General features: G+C 39.2%; 1 pseudogene across 1 annotated transcript in view; it reads right to left on the reverse strand.

Moving 5' to 3' along the window:
* Nucleotides 1-6,234: 6,234 nt before the first annotated feature.
* The window catches only part of ZNF37BP (zinc finger protein 37B, pseudogene), a 39,361-nt pseudogene continuing 23,856 nt past the window's right edge, over nt 6,235-21,739 (reverse strand). The window contains exons 6-8 of the transcript NR_026777.2: nt 16,337-16,463; nt 15,907-16,030; nt 6,235-13,852 (exon numbers count right to left, since the gene is read on the reverse strand). The product of NR_026777.2 is annotated as a zinc finger protein 37B, pseudogene (transcript). The remainder of the gene's footprint in view (nt 13,853-15,906; nt 16,031-16,336; nt 16,464-21,739) is intronic.

Genomic DNA, 21,739 nt, shown 5'->3' on the forward strand with positions numbered 1-21,739 from the left:
TTTGTTTACAAATAGGTTTTTTAGGGCGGTATACCTCAATTATAGGAGCAGATTTATTATGGTAAATCCAGAGATCAGAAAGCATGTGTAACTGTGTCATAGAGTGATTATATCCAGGCATTATTGCCAGCCAAGATTGATAAATATGCCCAATAAGTATGATTGTTCCCTGTGTCAGCCCTTACTGAAGGAATACTCATGGCAGTGGTGATCATCACTATCATAGCTACCATTAAATTACTCATTGTGACTGGTTGTTCCACTTTCCTCAGGTTTTCTTTTATCATCAGTGACAGCTTCTTGATCTGTCCCCAGGTGGGTGGCAGAGTTTGACTGGTATTGCTCATGACAGTTGAAGTCCTCCTCAGCATCAGTATCAACCTGGCTGCAATGGGGGGGGTGGTCCTCGGGATCCTCCTGGAATCTCTTCCTTGGCATCTGGCTTATGATAAGGTTTCAGGTATTTTGATGGTACCTAAATCAGCTGTTGAATTTGGCCTGGAGAAACAGAAGGATAACCTCTACCCCAAGTTATTATTTTACCTGTTTCCCAACTTTTTGTTATTGAATCTCTCCACCAAATCAGTTGTTCTGCTCCTGTCTTTGCAGCTGGTTTCTGTAGATGCTGTTCAGCTCCTGATAACATCTGGCCTTTGGGCAGGCTCAAAAAATTTAAAGTTAATAATGCTAGATTCAATTGTGTATGGACTGTCCTGTAATCCCTATTTCTCCCTCTTTTTTGTTTTTGTCATCAGTTGTTTATCTGTATGATATCATAACTGAGCATTTTCAATTAACTCTGTGGAATGAACCATGTATGATGAATCAGAAATCACATTAATAGGCATAACAAAAGCAGCCAATATCTCGATTACAGCTACAAGCTTTGCTTTTTATAGGGCATCTGAATAACTTTACTTTTTTGAGCCAGAATAAGAAGCTTTACTATTACTAGACCCATCTGTGAAACAATGAAAACACTTAGCAGGCTGCAGGTTGTTTACTGCAGGAATTATACATGCAAACCGCTTACAGGCTTGCTCAGCTAAAGGGATAGTAAAGAACTGAACTGATGGCTCTTAAGTCAGTTAACATTCTCCATTTACCTGATTTTTTCTTAATTACAAAAACTGGAGAATTCCAAGGGGAAAATTTTGGAGCTGTGTGCCCATTTTCTAATTGTTCAGTAACTCATTTCTCCAAAACCTCCAGTTTCTCTTAACTTAGTGGCTACTGTTCTATCCAAATTGGCTTATCTGTTAACCATTTTAAGGGTATAGGTTCTGGAGGCTTAACAATGGCCACCAGCAAGAATGATATCCTAATCTTTGATGGGATCTTTGTCTTTCCACTTGAAGCAGTTCTTTCAAATCTTGCAAATTTTTTTCTAGTCCTATGCCAGGGACATACCCCATTTCATGCATTGTATGTTGACTTTGAGGGCTATATAATTGTTCTGGAATTAGAACTTGTGCTCCCCATTGTTCTAATAAATCTCTCCCACATACATTTATAGGTACAGAAGTTATAATTGGTTGAATAGTCCCACGTTGTCCATTGGGCCCTTCACAGTGCAAAATATAACTACTTTGATATACTTCAGGGGCTTTACCAACTCCAACTATGTTAAATTTAGTGGGTTGAATTGGTCACGCGGACAGCCAGTGCTGTAGAGAAATGATTGAAATGTCCACTGCTGTATCTACCAAACCTTTAAATTTCTTTCCCTGAATGGTTATTTCACAGGTAGGACGTTTATCAGTGATTTTATTTACACAATAAACTGCTTTGCGTTGTTTATTTGTGCTTCCAAATCCTCCTGTTCATTTAATTTCACTTTTTCTCATTCCCACATATAGCACAATCAGGAGCTGTGCTATGTGCTCTCCTGGCTCTGCTTTCCAGGGAACAAAAGTAGATATAACAATGTGAATTTCCCCATTGTAATCTGAATCAATGACTCCCGTATGTATTTGTATCCCTTTTAAACTTAGACCTTTCTAAAAGTAATCCTATTGTCCCTGCTGGCAAGGGTACACAGAATCCTGTTGGGACCTTTTGCGGGGGTTCCCCAGGCAGAAGGCTCACAGCTTTTGTGCAGCATAAATCTACTGCGGCACTACCAGCTGTGGTGGGTGACAGACATTGCACAGGGGTGAGGGAATGGCCTGAGCTGGAAATGCCCCAGTTTAGAATGAGGCCCAGGATGGGCCCCTCATGGCATTTCCTCAAATCAGGTTCCCATCTTTATCAAACTTAGAGTGACACTGATTAGCCCAATGTTTTCCTTTTTTACATTTTGGACATATTTCAGACTAGCAGTTTTCTTTTTTCCCCTATCTGGTGGCCTGATTTGCTGATTATTTCTCCATTCTTTTTTAGTATGAATAGCTTGTTTAAATTCTTTGAGTAATTTAAAAAGAAAAAGCTCAAATGTAGCTATAATATTTCCCTGTTGAACTAGGGAGTGTATTCTAACAGGGAACTGCCAAGCCTCTAAATCACCCTCTCGTCTAGCTTGCTGAATTTCTCCCTGAATAGAACTAAAAGCGGTCACTTGAGGCGCTGCTCAGTCACTGGGGCAACTACTTTTTACCCAGTGTCCTCCAGAAAAGAAAGATCTGGAGGGTCATTTTCTTCAAAATAATAATGAGGGGGTGCAGAATGGTAGGGATGAACCTCTCCCTCCTTTGCCGCTTTAGCTTTAGCTGGTAAATAAACATGCTTTGTAACCTCTTCTGTTACTTCGTTATACTCTCCTTCCTCCTCCACATCAGTGTGAAAAAGTTCCAAGGTGGAATGAACCAGACCCCACACTTTTCCCATTGGTACCCTGATGCTTCTGAGCTCCCCTTCTTACTCACCACAGGGATTGCTTAATTCCACGTTCTCCAACCATCGCTCCAGCAATCCTTCAACCTGGATTCGAGCCCCCACGATGGACACCACTTGCCAAGACCAGCTCAATTGGGGAGACCCTAACCCAGCAGCACTAGAGCAATTAAAGACACACACACAGAAATATAGAGGTGTCAAGTGGGAAATCAGGGGTTTCTCAGCCTTCAGAGCTGAGAGCCCCGAACAGAGATTTACTCACATATTTATTAACAGCAAACCAGTCATTAGCATTGTTTCTATAGATGTTAAATTAACTAAAAGTATCCCTTATGGGAAACAAAGGGATGGGCCAAATTAAAGGAATAGGTTGGGCTAGTTAACTACAGCAGGAGCATGTCCTTAAGGTACAGATCACTCATGCTATTGTTTGTGGCTTAAGACTGCCTTTAAGCAGTTTTCCACCCTGGGCGGGCCAGGTGTTCCTTGCCCTCATTCCGGTAAACCCACAAACTTCCAGCGTGGGCATTATGGCCATCATGAACATGTCACAGTGCTGCAGAGATTTTGTTTATGGCCAGTTTTGTGGCCAGTTTATGGCCAGATTTTGGGGGGCCTGTTCCCAACACCCATCATATACCAGCAGTGCACTTAGAGAAATGCACCACCTGAATGAGCTGTGTAACACTAGGAAAGCACATCTTTAGTTGGAACATTACTGGTTTCACTTAAAACCAAGTATCAGACACATTATATACACACTTTGTTTTCTGTTTTTCATTTCTAATATTCGTATATTAGCATTAAAGAGAGAAATACAATTTGAGTGCTTGTCATCAGTGAAGAAAGTGATTGGCGTAATTGAAAAGATGAAAAGAGCAGACATTCTGAGTGTCCTCAATCGATCTTATTGATTTTTAAAGGATTCTAGGGCTTGAATGTCTCAAACTAGTCCAAAAAAAGCCAACAGCAGGACCCATACAACTATAAATCTCACTAGATACATCCCCTATTCCATGAACATGAGAGGAGATGAACATTATCAGCCTTGCCCAATTTCTCAGCTTACATTTATTTGGGGGTCAATCCAATACCGTTATATGAATTCTTTGGAAATTGGAATATTTGAGCAAAAATGTTTACTTTTTGCACTTGAAAATACAAAAAGATATAGACATAGAGTGCATCTTTATTAGAGAATACCGAAAATCCCTTCAAGTCCAAGTTTTGAAATCCCCAGTTGACTGTTTGGCAGAATGGCTCATTGTCAGGTAGAACTCTTTTCTAGGGCCCAAACTACATTGCTTAGATACAATGCAAAGAGACATGGGCCAACCCCACCTTTCCAGCTCATTCGTTATCAGCAAAAAGCTTCGGCCTGGGCTCCAGTTATGGTTATAGTTGGCTTCACAGGTGTGCGAACTGTCATCTGGGTGATCACAGGGTGATGACAGGGCTGCTGCATGTTGCTCTGGAGGTTTTTCACTGCACAGTGAACTGCCTGATCACAGCAGCCTTAGACAAAACTGGATAACATAGTTCTTAATGTTTTCTTCCTCATTGAGCATCCCCTGATCTGAGAGGCTGTGAGGCAAGTTTTTACAAGACAAAGATATTAGCTGAGAGGATCAAGTAGAACAAATGCATTGTTGCTGAACACCAGGGGTTTGGCCTAGGTGTGGTTGCTCACTGCACAGAAAGCCAGTCACTAAGACGAGTATTGCCAGGGAAGAAGAGATTTATTGTGGATGCTGTCAGTCTAACCGTCAAATCCGTCTCTCTCCCAACTAAAGTTAGGAGTTTATATAGACAGGAATTAAGGGGAGTAAGGAATATGATCAACAGGCAGCAGGTGGTTAGATGAGAGGTCTAGCATCTCATTGTAACCACCTGTGGGAAAACAGGAACGGGAGAGAAGGAAGAGGAGTCAACTGGCAACAGCTCTCCTTGTCCAGTTGTGGTGATCTGTAAAGTTTCAGTTCCATGAAACTATGTGGGAGTCCTAATGATCAGTTTATTGAGAAAGAAACTCAGATGACAAATGTTAAATTTCTCAACCTTTAAGACTTGGAGGTCAATCCTATACTTTGGATATTTTTGCCTGCTTAAATCTGATGTTGCATTGTAATTCCCAGGGCTGGAGGTAGGTCCTGGTGGGAGGTGATCATGGGGATGGAACCCTCATATGGCTTAGTGCTGTCTTCCTGATACTGAATTCTCCCAAGATCTGGTCATCTAAAAGAATCTGGCACATTCCCCAACTCCCTCTCTCTTGCTCCTGCTTTGCCTTCTGCTATGACTGAAAGTTGAGGCTTCACCAGAAGCCGAGTAGATGCCAGCACCATGCTTCCTGCAAAGCCTGTAGAACCTGAGCCAATTAAACTTCTTTCCTTTATAACCTCTTTACTTTATATTACCCAGTCTCAGGTATTTCTTTACAGCAATGCAAGAATGGTTTGACAGTCAATTTCTATGTTTATTCCCCTCACAAAAGGCCTCCATAAACATCAACTGCATAGGAAAATTGAGCTGGTTTCAAGATCAAAAATTTGGCCCATATTAATAGTGGTTGAAACTTTATGTTTACAATTATTACTTCTGTTCATTTTACCATCTCCTCTTCCTCCATGCAGCAGGGGCATGTTGCAAATCACACACTCCAAAAAATTAAACACAGGACATTCCAAAAATTAGCATTGGTATTGAAAACACTCCCCCAAATCAGGCTTATTTGCCATTCGTATTTTTTCTGTAGTGAAATTTTCATACCAATCTTTCACCAATTTTCTTTTTGGGATTTTTCTTCTATTCTTATCCAAAGCTGTTTTACAAGTACTTTTTTCAGTCCATAACTCACCTTTCCATTTCCTTAATTGTGTGCTTTAAGAACACAAGTTTTGAATTTAACAAAATCTAATTTATCAAAGTTTAAAGTGAGTACATCGTTTTTATTACTTTAAGTGCATTAAATTTGTGTATATTCCATATTTGTATTGTCCATAGAGAAATCATCACCTAACTGAAACCTACAAAAATTTTCTCAGTTTTTCTTCTATAAGTTTTAACTTTGAGCTCTTGTATTTAGATCTATGATGAGTTGAGGCCTTATATATGCTTTGGGGAGTCAAAGTTAACACCACATTTTGAAGATGTGTCTTTCCCCTTGGATTTCATTGGCACATTTGCTGAAAATGTCCCAAGCACCTCATGGGGTATGGCTGTGGTTCTGGACTCATGTATTCACAATTGTTTTGAATATTCACATAAATTTATAATCCACTGTCAAATTTTAATTCAGGTGGTGTTTAATTAATAGAACAATTTGAGGAAAACTGACATCTCAAAAATAGTTTTCTTGCCTATTTTGGCCCTATTTCTGCCATACACATTTTGGAAAACTTTTTCCAGTACTAAGAATAAATATTGGAAGCTTTATTGAAATTGTATCAAATTTACAGAAACATTTAAAGAAAACATATTAATAATGGTCTTCCTAATCATTGAAATTTTTACTTTATTTTTAATTTTTTTGGGTACATACTAGGTGTATACATCTATGGGGTACATGATATATTGATACAGGTTTGCAATGTCTAATAATCACATCAGGGTAAATGGGATATCCATAACCTCAAGCATTTATCCTTTGTGTTACAAACAATTCAATTATACCTTAAAAATGTACAATTATTATTGACTGTAGTAACCTTGTTGTGCTATCAAATACTAGGTCTTAGTCATTCTACCTTTTTGTGCCCATTAACATTCCCCAATTCCCCCTCATCATGCCCCCACTACCTTTCCCAGCCTCTGGTAAACATTCTTCTACTCTATCTCTAGAAGTTCAGTTGTTTTCATCTTTAGCTCCAATAAATAAGTCAGAACATGTGATGTCTGTCTTGCTGTGCCTGGCTTATTTCACTTAATGATCTGTAGTTCCATCTATAATGTTGCAAATGACAGGATCTCATTCTTTTTTATGGCTGAATAGTACTCCGTTGTGTATACGTACCATATTTTATTTATCCATTCATCTGCTGATGGACACTTGGATTGCTTCCAAATCTTGGCTATTGCGAGTAGTGCTACAGTAAACATGGTGCAGATTTATCTTCAATATACTGATTTCCTTTCTTTGGGGTATATACCTACCAGTGGAATTGCTGGATTGTATGGTAACTCTATTTTTAGTTTTTGAGGTACCTACAAACTGTTCTCCATAGTGGTTGTACTAATATACACTTCCACAGTGCACGAGGGTTCCCTTTTCTCCACATCCTCTTCAGCATTTGTTGTTACCTGTCTTTTGGACAGAAGATATTTTAACTGGGGTGAGATGATATCTCATTGTAGTTTTGATTTGCATTTCTCTAATGGATCAATGATGTTGAGTACATTTTCATATGCCTGTTTGCCATTTGTATGTCTTCTTTCGAGAAATGCCTATTCAGATTTTTGTCCAGTTTTCAGATTAATTTTTTTTCTATAGAATTGTTATAGTTCCTGATATAGTTATAGTTACAGCTCCTGATATAGCTAGTGATATAGTTTGGATATTTGTCCCTGCCCAAATCTCATTTTGAGATGTAATCCTCAGCATTAAAGGTGGGTCTTGGTGGAAGGTATTTTCGTCAAGGGGGAGGATCCCTCATTAATTGATGCTGTCCTTTCATCAACGCCCATATTTCTGCCATATGCATTTTGGAAAAGTTTTTCCAGTGTTAAGAATAAATATTGGGAGTTTTATTGAAATATTAAATTTATAGAAACTGCTATTATTTTAATAATGAGTCTTCAAACATTGAAATTATTTTTAAATTTTTGTGGGTACAAATAGGTGTATATGTTTATGGGGGTACATGAGATATTTTGATACAGTCATGAAATGTATATGAACACATCAGGGTAAATGGGGTATCCCTGACCTCAAGCAACCCTCACAAGACCTGAGTACTCACAAGATCTGGTTAAGTGTGTGGCACCTCCCTCCCCCTCTCTTTGCCCTTGCTCCTGCCATGTGAGATACTTATTCCCCTTTTGCCTTCCACAATGGTTGGAAGCTTCCTGACGCCTCCCTACAAGCTGATCAGATGTTAGCACCATGCTTCCTGTACAGCCTGCAAAACTGTGAGCCAATTAAACCTCTTCTTTATAAATTACCCAGTCTCACGTATTTCTTTATAGTACTTCAAGAATGGCCTAATACAGATGGATAGTTTGCAAATATTCTTTCCCATTCTATGGGTTGTCTCTTCACTTTGTTGTTTCCTTTGCAATACAGATTTTTAACTTGATGTGATCCCACTTGTCCATTTTTGCTTTGGTTGCCTGTTTGTCAGGTATTACACAAAAAATCTTTGCCCACTCCAATGTCCTGGAGAGATTCCCCAATGTTTTATTTTAGCTGTTTCATAGTTTGAGGTCTTAGATTTAACTTTTTAATTAATTTTGATTTTTGTATATGTTAAGAGATAGGGGTCTAGTTTCATTCTTCTGCATACGGATATCCAGCTTTCCCAGCACCAGTTATTAAAGACACTATCTTTACCCCAATGTATGTTCTTCATAACTTTGTCAAAAGTGAGTTCACTGTAGATGTATGAATTTGTTTCTGGGTTGTCTATTCTGTTCCTATGTGTCTGTTTTTATGCCAGTATCATGCTGTTTTGGTTACTGTAGCTCTGTAGAATAATTTGAAGTCAGGTAATATGATCCCTCCAGTTTGATTCCTTTTGCTCAGGATAACTCTGACTATTCTAGGTCTTTTGTGGTTTCCATATAAATTTTAGGATTGTGTTTTCTATTTCTTTGAAGAATGTTAAAGTTTTCTGGATATTGCACAGTTTGTCCATTAACTTGCTGAGCAACATCTTTTTTTTTTCTTTTTTCCTGAGACAGGGTCTCACTCTGTCTTCCAGGCTGGAGTGCAGTGGCATGATCACAGCTCGATGCAGTCTCAATCTCCCAGGCTCAAGTGATCCTCCCACCTCTCTGCCTCCTGAGTATCTCGGATGACAGGTGCATGCCACCACGCCTGGCTAATTTTTATATTTTTTGTAGAGACAGTTTTGCCATGTTGCCTGGGCTGGTCTCAAACTCCTGGGCTCAAGCAACACACCCACCTCGACCTCCTAACATGCTAGAATTACAAACATGAGCCACTGAGCCCAGCCAGAGTATTTTCTTTCTGTTAGGTACATGAAATGATTCAGGCTCATCTTCTTTTTCTCCCAATCTCCGACTAGGAATCATCCCTGGTCCCCTTTTTTGTGGATAGTATTTAGGAAATAATAACTTGGCAGTTGGTGTGTTTACTGTTACTGAGCTGTGACTGCATTTATGTCCTCTCGGTAGAATGAATCACAAAATATATGTATATGGGCACACCCAACAATTTCTCTATTGTTCCTATGTATTTAAAAGATATGAGTTCTATTCTAATCCCACACTCCAGGTTTTCTAGCTCTCCTCATTCCTATTTCTACAAATACCTTCTCTAACAGGGAGAAACCTTGCCATCATCATTCTCAACATATTTGCTCAGTGGTACCAATCTCTTAACAATGCTGCCCATCTCCTCCCCCTGTCCCTTCCACACCTCACCCTCAGCCCTCTTGGTGCCAGCAGACACATAGCCACAACTCCTCTCATCCCACAATGCAGGTCTAACTCCTCCACTCTGGGAAGGGAAGGCAAAAGAGACACATAAAAACTCAAAGAGGGGAATCAAAAGAAAGAGGAAGGGAAGGCCACATTGATTTTTTAAAAAATAATAAATCATCTTTTGATTGCCCTAATAAACATCTCTTGGTGATGATACAGTTTATGGATATGACTAGACTTTTTTTTTCAATTTTAGGATTTTGCATCTAAATCTATGAGACTTTGGTCTATAGCTTTATGTTTTTTGTTTGTTTGTTTGTTTTATTGGTTTTGGTATCAAGGTTGCACTGGCCTGAAAAACTGAATTGGAAAAGTTCCAACTTTTTTCTTCTAGAAGAGTTTATAAAAGCCTGGTATGCTTTATTTATTAAATATTTGGAATAACTTCAGTGGAGCCATCTGTCCTAGAGTTTTCTTTCTAAGCAAGTTTTTGAATATTCCACTCAGATATTGTTTGCAGTTGTGACAAGGTACAATGAATCTCTGGTATGACCTTGTTTCCAGGGCTTTTACTGATGGCATGTTCATGAAAGGACCAACCCACTGGCACTTCCTAAGGTCTAATCATTTCTCCTCCATATTGCAAAATGCAAAACAAAACAAAAATCCTACTTGTTTTCTTCTCAAATTAGCTTTTCAGCCTCCTGCCCTATGCAGCATGAGATATCTGGAAATTTCTTGAGAAATTATGTGTTTGAAGCCCCTAATGTATCCATTTTTTTTTAATTGCAGTCTTGATTGTTCTCCTGGTTTCTGGTCCCCCCCATGCCTTCCCCTGACCCCCAGGGTATGGCCCTCTGCCTGAACCAAGTTCAGTATTCAGGTTCTTCCCTATAGCCAGAAGTGGAAAGGGTCCCCAGAGCAAAGAGCTGCATTCTGTGCATGTGCTTTCTGGGATTTACCACTCTCTAGAATTTTGCTCCTTTAGTTCTCTTTGCTTCTATAGCAATAAGTTGCATTTAAATATTTTTTGTAATTTTATAGTTGTCCTCAATCAGTCCATTCTGCTGCCGACTACTATACCTTACCCAATAGCAAAATCTATTTTTTTTTTAAAGTGTCTGTCACTCAGGCTGGAGTGCAGTGGCATGATCTCAGCTCAATGAAACCTCCAACTCCCAGGTTCAAGTGATCCTCCCACCTCAGCCTCTCTAGTAGCCGGGACTACAGATGTGCGCAATCATGCCTGGCTAATTTTTGTATTTTTAGTAGAGACAGGGTTTCATCATGTTGGCCAGGCTGGTCTGGAACTCCTGACCTCAGGTCTTGCCCACCTCAACCTCCCAAAGTACTGGGATTACAGGTGCAAGCCACCATGCTCAGCCTATTTGTGCTTTTTCAAAGCCCCATATTTAAGTTATATCTCTATATACATTTTAAAAAGTTATATCACCTATGAAAAATGTATTTCACTTTGGAGAGAAATAGAGTTGGGTACAATAAGTCACTCACAGCAGAATGTCCTGGCTTATGTGTTGGACATCTGCTAGGGCAGAAACCACCAGAAATCTGGACCCACTCTCTTCTACTAATCCTCTTAAGCTGCATACAAGGCAAGTTGACTTGCCCCCTTGATCCACCATTCTGAGACGGGTCACCCAAAATTAGTCTGCCCCAGGATTATTCAAAAATCCTGCTGGTGGGCTCCTGTCCTATGGCCCCAGATTAAGGGTCTCTTTCTTCCTGGACATACAAAAGCACTCTTGCTTATGGTTCCCTTTGCTAAAAACTCTTCCCTTATTTTACATATGGCTAAGCAATACATCTTTGACCTAGTTATAGTCATTGGCTCCAGCGTGGCATCTTTTCAAGTGTCAGAAAACAGCAGTCTTGACAATGAACTGAACTGGATATAAGCAAAGTAAAATGCTATTTCTCAATAAAAACCTTTTTTTGCGTGGTGGCTCACACCTGTAATCCCAGCACTTTAGGAGGCCGAGGCGGGCAGATCACGACGTCAGGAGATCGAGACCATGGTGAAACCCTGTCTCCACTAAAAATACAAAAAATTAGTCAGGTGTGGTGGCAGGCGCCTGTAGTCCCAGCTACTTGGGAGGCTGAGGAAGGAGAATGGTATGAACCCAGGAGGCAGAGCTTGCAGTGAGCCGAGATCATGCCACTGCATTCCAGCCTGGGTGGCAGAGCGAGACTCTGTCTCAAAAAAAAAAAAAAAAAAAAAAAAGAAAACCTTTTCTCTACATGTTCTTAAATTGCTAGATATCCTGCAATTCAACACCTCTGGTCTATATTAAATTTAGATTTTAACCTAAAGTGTCCACACATTGGATACAGTTAAAAATACTTTCTCACTATCTGATGTTCACTAAGAAGGTACTTCTTATTACATATACTCTATAAAATATAACCTCATAGTAAATGCTTTCCTATAGTTTGTGCATTTTCTGTGGCCTCTTGACTTCACACAGAATGATTTTCCACATTCATTACATCCATAGGGTTTCTGTCTTATATGAGTTCTGTGGTGAACAATTAGGGCCCACTTCTGGTGAAAGGTTTTCCCACATTCATTACACCCAAAAAGTTTCTCCCGTGTGTCTTCTCAGATATTCTGTGAAACTGTAGTAGTAGCAAAAAAATGCATCCCTTCTCAACTTACGGATGTTGAGCCAGGTTTCACCCTGTGTGAACTCTCTGATGTTTACTGAGGTGTGGCATTGAGCAAAATGTTTCCTATATTCATTCACCAATAAGTGTTTTTCACTTTTAGTTCTTAAACATAATCTATGGCCCAAATCCCAGAATAATGTTTTCCTGCATTCCATATCTTCATATTGTTTTTTCCCTCTTTAAGTTCTCTTCTCTACTGTGAGAACTGACTTCAGGGCAAAGGTGTTCTCATTATCATTATATTAACAGATTTCTCTCACCCTTTATGTTCTCTGCTCTACAAAGTTCTGACTTCACCCAGAGTAATTTCCCTCACTTACTACATTTATAGGGTTTCACCTCAAGTGTGTTCTGTGATGTACAGTTAGTTTTGACTTAATAATAATTTTCCACAAACATTACATTCATAGGGTTTCTCCCCTGTGTATGTTCTATGATGTGCAATGAGTTTTGACTTCACACAGAATGATTTTCCACATTCATTACATCCATAGGGTTTCTGTCTTATATGAGTTCTCTGGTGAACAATTAGGGCCAACTTCTGATGGAAGGTTTTCCCACATTCATTACATCCAAAAGGTTTCTCCCCTGTGTGTCTTCTCAGATGTTCTGTGAAACTGTAGTAGCAGCAGAAAAATTTTCCACATTGAATACATGCATAAGATTTCCCATCTGTGTGTTCTTAGATGTTTAGTAAGGGTTGACTTCTCGGAGAATGACTTCCCACATTCATTACATTCATAAGGTTTTTCTCCTGTGTGAATTCTCTGATGTTTAATGAGGTCGGATTTTCTGAGAAAGGTGTTGCCACATGCATAGCATTCATAGGGCTTCTCCCCTGTGTGTTTTCTGATGCACAGTTAGAACTGACTTAAACGAGGTTTTCCCACATTCATGACATTCATGATTTCTCCCCACGTGTGTTCTCTGATTTTGAGTAAGGGATGACTTTTCACTGAAGGATTTCTCCATTCATGACATCTGTAAGGTCTCTCCCCTGTGTGAATTCTTTGATTTCTAATGAGGTCTGAATTCTTATAGAAGGTCTTCCCACATCCGTGACATTCATAGGGTTTTCCCTGTGTGTGTTCTCTGATGTCTTGTGTGGGCTGACTTCTGGGTGAAGGTTTTTCCACATTCATGACATTCATAAGGTTTTTCCCCTGGATGTGTTCTCTGTTGTAAATGAAGGGCTAATTTTTCACTGAAAAAGGTTCCACATTCATTATATTCAATAATATTGCTAATTGAGTGGGTTCTCTGAATTAGAGTGGGATTTAAATTCTGGCTGAATGGGTAAACATTCTGATGTTCAAAGAGAATGGATTCCTCAAAGATACTTTCTCCACATTCATTACATTCATAGTGGTTCTCTCTTGGATGTGTTTGCTGATGAGTAATAAAAAATGACATATAACAGGTTTTCCCATGTTCAGTATATTTGCATGTTTTCTGTCCTGTGTAAGCTCTCTTATGTACAAGGAAGAGTGAATTCTCAGGGAAAGCTTTCCCACATTCATTGTATTCAAAAGGTTGCTCCCAATTTTTAATCTTCTGATGCCAAATGAGGTCTTCATTCAGCCAGAAGCTGTTCCCATTGTTATTATATTCAGAAGGTTCCTCTTCAAAATGAATTATTTCATGCTTTCATCACAGAAACATTTTCCACCTTTGTTAAACTCATTGAACTTCATTCTTGAATAGTTTCTACTGGTATTAATTAATTCTGAAATACAGAGTGACAAGAAAGATTAGTTGACAAGGATATGTAAGAGAACTGAAGTTAGCATTATGTTTGAAGGCTCAGTTTAAGCCATTATCTCCTCACACCTACATTATGACAACAATGTGCACACTTCCAGTCTTATACCTCTTTTCAACTCAACACAGCAGCAACAAATCAAATTTCTAAAAGTTCTAATTCATAGATAGTCCTATAATCCAGGCTCCAATTGTGTGTGTTGTTGTTGTTTTTGAGACAGAGTCTTCCTCTGTCACCCAGGCTGGAGTGTAGTGGCATGATCTCAGCTCTCTGCAATCTCCGCTTCCTGGGTTCAAGCGATTCTCATGCCTCAACCTCCCAAGTAGCTGGGACTACAGGCATGCACCACCATGCTCAGCTAGTTTTTATGTTTTTAGTAGAGACAGGATTTTGCAATGTTAACCAGGCTGGTCTCAAACTCCTGGCCTCAAGCAATTCACCCACATTGGCCTTCAAAAGGGCTAGGATTACAGACATGAGCCACTGCATCTGGCTTAATTGTTTTTCTAGCTCTGATTCACTAGGAATAAAAGTATGCAACAATAAGAGTGAAATCAATGAGTGAACAAGTCATCGTTGCCACAGGATCAGGCTTATGGTTCTATTCCGGCTATGGGATTTGCCCTTTATTCCATCAACTGTACTATATTATACTGAGTCCAATGTTCCAAGAACAAACACTTTTTTTTTAACAAGGTATCACTGAAGTAGACATATCTTTACGTTTAGATTCAGATTAGAACCAAGCCATTCTTTTACAAGTCTATAATGAATGTAATTCACTCTAGGTAAGTTCATCTGTTTGTCCCTCATAAATTGCTCATTCCCATCATAATTTTATACTGATTTTTTTTTCATTGTCAGCTTACAGTCTAACAATGTTTTTAAAAAGTTGCCTTCCCAAATTTTCCCACCACTTCCAGATTCATTTACTAAAAAACATGAAAGGACCATTTGTATAATTCATTTAAGCACAAACATCAGCTGGATTGCTATAACAATATTCTTTGTTAAACACTGAATTTTAAAATATTTCATGCAGTTCTGTTTTCGTTCACCAACTATGTTCCTGGCAGCCATTACTTTACCTATGATTTTCTCTCAGTGCCCTACATAGATATTTATATCATGGTACCTAATAAATAATGTTTATCAGAATTACCCAGAGAGCATTTTCAAACACAAATTTTTTCAGGCTTCACGCTGAAATCATTACTGTTTGAATGTTTAATTTTAATTTTAAATGCTTTTTATATTTTAGAGACAGAATCTTGCTCTGTCACCCAGGCTGCAGTGCAATGGCACAAACACAGCTCACTGCAGCCTCTTCCTGGGTTAAAGCAAGACTCTCAGCTCAGCTCCCCAGTAGCTGAGATCACAAAAATCAGCCAGGCATGGGACCGCATGTGTGTGCCACCATGCCTGGCTAATTTTTTAAGTTTTGATAGAGATAGGGTCTCCCCGTGTTGACCAAGCTGGTCTCAAATTCCTGGGCTCAAGAGATTCTCCCACCTCAGCCTCCCAAATTGCTGGGATTACAGGCATGAACCACTGGGCCCAGGCTATTTTAAAATAATTCTGTAAAAAAATGTGAATATGGTAGAATGCTAACGAATGAGCAACTCAAAAAAGCATGTATAGAAAAATATATTTAATATTTTATAGAAGGAGGGATGCTCTTGAATGGGAAGACCACACGAGGGAGCTTTCCAGGGGTGCTGAAAAACACTCTATATATTCATCTCAATGATGGATACATGAGTGTCTCATATATATATATACACACATATATATTTAATTTTATTAAGCTGTGACTTAACTATATAATTTATATCACAATTAAAAAAAAAGATGTGTGTATGGAAGTGATACTGGGAGATGCTGGGTGATTAAGAGCCACTGGATATTTGGGTCATGTCAACATGTTACTTCCAAAGGTCTAGAGCCTCTAAAATATGATTCCTGAAGAACATTTCAATGGTCTTATTATCTGAACTTACCCTTTGTGATCTGCCTACCTTTAAATTCCATCTGGCACTAACTCACCCAGATGACTCTGGCTTCGAAATTTTTCCTCTAATATCCATGGCTCCTTGCCTGTCTCCAATTTGAGGATCACTTCTGGTTTAGGAATGCAATACCCTGTGAATGATGCAATACCCTGTGAATGAGAATTATATTACTTCTGACAAACTGGGTGGGTTTCCCTGAAGGAGGAAGACAGTATACCCCAAACAGTACACACACACACACACACACACACACACCTCATTTAATCCTGTCGTGGGGCAGAGGAAAATATTCTTTCTGGTATCCAAAAGGGATACATTGTCTCTGACCTCTAAATTTCAAAGCTAAATGTTATATTTTACAAAATTTCCACAAGTTTCTATCGATAAGAAAGGACATGCATTCTGGCCTTCTACATGGGAAACAATTCCTACCTACCTACTGAGACAAGGTGGCTGTAGTTCTCCAGCATCACATTCCTCTACAGGGTCCTCTGAGCAGGGTCCAGATGATGCCACTCCTCTTGAGTGAAGCCCATAGTCACATCCCTAAATGACACTGATCCCTGGAAAATCACAGTTCTGCTCAGTCTGATGCAATAAGAATCAGCTGATGTGAGACAAGATGTTTAGGGACTAATTCTTACAATTTTTGTTGTTGAAAATTAAATAGAAAATGTTATAAAGGGCCTCCATGATATATGTTGTTTTATGTTACACATTGTGGGTAAAAGATCATAGCAGAAATATCCTGTTGGTGAATTAATTACTTAATGCAAAAGTATTTAGTACCTACATGTGCCTAGAGCTTTCTTAGTTTCTGAGTATTCCAATTTGAATACAAGAGTCTTCCTTACAAGAGAGGAACATACCTTCTCATAAGGAAACATACATACAGAGACATATCTACCACAGGACTTAAAGGACTCACACCACAGATATGTGCAACACAGATGGATCATAAAAGTGTTCTGGGCAAATTCATGTGAGAGTGTGTCAACATATTAGACTTCACTGAAGTGATAAAACTTTAGTTCCTTTGCAAACATATAACAAAAACTTAAGAAAACGTTAAAAACCTGAAAAAATATGTGGCAAGTCAATGGAATTGCTTAACAGGATAACAGCATGTCTTACCTGTGATGAGATAAAGGTTGCAGAGGCATGGGAGATGAGGGAGACTAGGAAATACTTTTGGCTTTAATCCTGTTAGTGTTCTCCAAATATTTATCACTCTTCTAATCCATAAAAATGTTTAGCAACTACTAGTTTAGTTTATATTTATAAAGTAAATAAAATACAATCTACATATAAGGAAAGCTTAATTTTGTTTTCATTTTTTAGATAAAAATATAAATAGGCATGCTGATAGTTTCCTCCCATGCCCTAAAGGACTGGCAGTATATGACATAAACACAATAATCTTGCACACTTCCTTTAGGCCATAGGCTCCCTGCTCTCCCAACTCCAAGTCATTGATGCAAATAGCAGAAGTTGATGGTGAACTGAAAATACACACCTGAATCCCTGTAACATAATTCAGTTTTCACTCAGGAAGCAATGCCACCAAAGTACAGTGGAGACTGTGCTGGAGAGCAGCGTTAGAGGTAGATTGTCTATATTACGGGGCAGCAGTGGAGATGTGGAAGAGGGAATTCACTAAGCAAAGGAAGAGAAGAAGGGCTACTTCCAGAGGGCCTGTATAGGGGCCTTAGAAGGTCTGGAAATTAGAACCAGGAGGTTGGGTGTTGGGGGAGGTGAGAGTACAGAGTGACAATAAGACACATGCAGGCCATGCAGCTCTTGGAATGTCTTCATGTCATGGAAGTGAGCATGTCCAGTGGAAGGTTACAGAGATGATTCTGAAGCTTGGGAGAGACCTAAGGTCTGGAGTTCAAGACCAGCCTGGCCAACATGGTGAAACCCCGTCTCTACTAAAAATACAAAAAATAGCCATGCATGGCAGTGGATGCCTGTAATCCCAGCTACTCAGGAGGCTGAGGCAGGAGAACCTCTTGAATCCGGGAGGTGGAGGTTGCAGTGAGCCAAGATCGTACCACTGAACTCCAGCCTGGGTAACAGGGTGAGACTCCATCTCAAAAATATATATATGTCAGAGAAGAAAAAAACAGCGTTCCAAAATCAATGTTAATATTTGCCTAACTGTGAAAACAAAAAAAATACTCTGTGAACACTACTAGAAAATAAAATAGGCCAGGTGTGGTGGCTCACACCTGTAATCCCAGCCCTTTGGTAGGCCAAGGCGGGAGGCTCACGAGGTTAGGAGTTCAAGACCAGCCTGGTCAACATGGTGAAACCCCTTCTTTACTAAAAATACAAAAATTAGCCAGGCGTGCTGGCAGGTACCTGTAATCCCAGCTACTCAGGAGGCTAAGACAGGAGAATCACTTGAAAATCCAGGAGGCAGATGTTGCAGTGAGCCAAGATCGCACCACTGTACTCCAGCCTGGGCAAAAAGAGTGAAACTCTGTCAAAAAAAAAAGAAAAAAGAAAAAGAAAAAGAAAGAAAGAAAGAATACAAAATGGATGTAAAATGCAGAATTGTACAAATCTAAATGTATAAAATTGCACAAATTATCATAAAATAAAAACTTGAAGAAGAGTTAATAATAGTTTGTAAAATATAAATAAATCTAGGAGATAAATTCCATTCTACAATGAATTCTAGAAGAAAAAAAAGCTAAAGAGAGACTTTTGGGGGGGGGAATGAGGGCAATCAAGAGCACTGTGTACGTTATAGCCCATTTATGCCTGAGGTTACAATTTTATTAATTTTTGCAATCAGACCTTGAAATGACCTTAAGCAGTAAGATATAAATAACCCCCACAGGCTTAGCGTTCCAATAATGGAACACTAGGTATAAATGGGTTAGGGAATTCAGAATGGCAAGCACAAACCCAGGACAGGAGAAGCTTGGCAAAGACCTGAAAAGACCCTAAGGTTTTACTTCTGGCTAATCTCTATGCTCGGTTCAAGCAAGTAGTGAAGACTAAGATGAAGTTCTTTTTATTATTATTATTATTATTATTATTATACTTTAAGTTTAGGGAACATGTGCACAATGTGCAGATTAGTTACATATGTATACATGTGCCATGCTGGTGCACTGCACCCACTAACTCATCATCTAGCATTAGGTATATCTCCCAATGCTATCCCTCAACCCTCCCCCCAACCCACAACAGGCCCCAGAGTGTGATGTTCCCCTTCCTGTGTCCATGTGTTCTCATTGTTCAATTCCCACCTATGAGTGAGAATATGCGGTGTTTGGTTTTTTGTTCTTGCGATAGTTTACTGAGAATGATGATTTCCAATTTCATCCATGTCCCTACAAAGGACATGAACTCATTATTTTTTATGGCTGCATAGTATTCCATGGTGTATATGGGCCACATTTTCTTAATGCAGTCTATCATTGTTGGACATTTGGGTTGGTTCCAAGTCTTTGCTATTGTGAATAATGCCGCAATAAACATACGTGTGCATGTGTCTTTATAGCAGCATGATTTATAATCCTTTTGGTATATACCCAGTAATGGGATGGCTGGGTCAAATGGTATTTCTAGTTGTAGATCCCTGAGGAATTGCCACACTGACTTCCACAATGGTTGAACTAGTTTACAGTCCCACCAACAATATAAAAGTGTTCCTATTTCTCCACATCCTCTCCAGCACCTGTCGTTTCCTGACTTTTTAATGATTGCCATTCTAACTGGTGTGAGATGGTAACTCACTGTGGTTTTGATTTGCATTTCTCTGATGGCCACTGATGGTGAGCATTTTTTCATGTGTTTTTTGGCTGCATAAATGTCTTCTTTTGAGAAGTGTCTGTTCATGTCCTTCACCCACATTTTGATAGGGTTGTTTGTTTTTTTTCTTGTAAATTTGTTTGAGTTCATTGTAGAATCTGGATATTAACCCTTTGTCAGATAACTAGGTTGCGAAAATTTTCTCCCATTTTGCAGGTTGCCTGTTCACTCTGATGGTAGTTTCTTTTGCTGTGCAGAAACTCTTTAGTTTAATTAGATCCCATTTGTCAATTTTGGCTTTTGTTGCCATTGCTTTTGGTGTTTTAGACATGAAGTCCTTGCCCATGCCTATGTCCTGAATGGTAATGCCTAGGTTTTCTTCTAGGGTTTTTATGGTTTTAGGTCTAACGTTTAAGTCTTTAATCCATCTTGAATTGATTTTTGTATAAGGTGTAAGGAAGGGATCCAGTTTCAGCTTACTACATACGGCTAGCCAGTTTTCCCAGCACCATTTATTAAATAGGGAATCCTTTCCCCATTGCTTATTTTTCTCAGGTTTTTCAAAGATCAGATAGTTGTAGATATGCAGCGATATTCCTGAGAGCTCTGTTCTGTTCCGTTGATCTATATCTCTGTTTTGGTACCAGTACCATGCTGTTTTGGTTACTGTAGCCTTGTAGTATAGTTTGAAGTCAGGTAGTGTGATGCCTCCAGCTTTGTTCTTTTGGCTTAGGATTGACTTGGCGATGCGGGCTCTTTTTTGGTTCCATATGAACTTTAAAGTAGTTTTTCCAATTCTGTGAAGAAAGTCATTGGTAGCTTGATGGGGATGGCATTGAATCTGTAAATTACCTTGGGCAGTATGGCCATTTTCATGATATTGATTCTTCCTACCCATGAGCATGGAATGTTCTTCCATTTGTTTGTATCCTGTTTTATTTCACTGAGCAGTGGTTTGTAGTTCTCCTTGAAGAGGTCCTTCACATCCCTTGTAAGTTGGATTCCTAGGTATTTTGTTCTCTTTGAAGCAATTGTGAATGGGAGTTCACTCATGATTTGGCTCTCTGTTTGTCTGTTGTTGATGTATAAGAATGCTTGTGATTTTTGTACATTGATTTTGTATCCTGAGACTTTGCTGAAGTTGCTTATCAGCTTAAGATTTTGGGCTGCGACGATCGGGTTTTCTGGATATACAATCATGTCATCTGCAAACAGGGACAATTTGACTTCCTCTTTTCCTAATTGAATACACTTTATTTCCTTCTCCTGCCTAATTGCCCTGGCCAGAACTTCCAACACTATGTTGAATAGGAGTGGTGAGAGAGGGCATCCTTGTCTTGTGCTGATTTTCAAAGGGAATGCTTCCAGTTTTTGCCCATTCAGTATGATATTGGCTGTGGGTTTGTCATAGATAGCTCTTATTATTTTGAGATATGTTCCATCAATACCTAATTTATTGAGAGTTTTTAGCATGAAGCATTGTTGAATTTCGTCAAAGGCCTTTTCTGCATCTATTGAGATAATCATGTGGTTTTTGTCTTTGGTTCTGTTTATATGCTGGATTACATTTATTGATTTGCATATATTGAACCAGCCTTGCATCCCAGGGATGAAGCCCACTTGATCATGGTGGATAAGCTTTTTGATGTGCTGCTGGATTCGTTTTGCCAGTATTTTATTGAGGATTTTTGCATCAATGTTCATCAAGGATATTGGTCTAAAATTCTCTTTTTTGGTTGTGTCTCTGCCCGGCTTTGGTATCAGGATGATGCTGGCCTCATAAAGTGAGTTAGGGAGGATTCCCTCTTTTTCTATTGATTGGAATAGTTTCAGAAGGAATGGTAACAGTTCTTCCTTGTACCCCTGGTAGAATTCAGCTGTGAGTCCACCTGGTCCTGGACTCTTTTTGGTTGGTAAGGTATTAATTATTGCCGCAATTTCAGCTCGTTATTGGCCTATTCAGAGATTCAACTTCTTCCTGGTTTAGTCTTGGGAGGGTGTATGTGTAGAGGAATTTATCCATTTCTTCTAGATTTTCTAGTTTATTTGCGTAGAGGTGTTTGTAGTATTC

This window comes from Homo sapiens, chromosome 10 (genome assembly GCF_000001405.40).
Source record: "Homo sapiens chromosome 10, GRCh38.p14 Primary Assembly".
Classification (NCBI taxonomy): domain Eukaryota; kingdom Metazoa; phylum Chordata; class Mammalia; order Primates; family Hominidae; genus Homo; species Homo sapiens.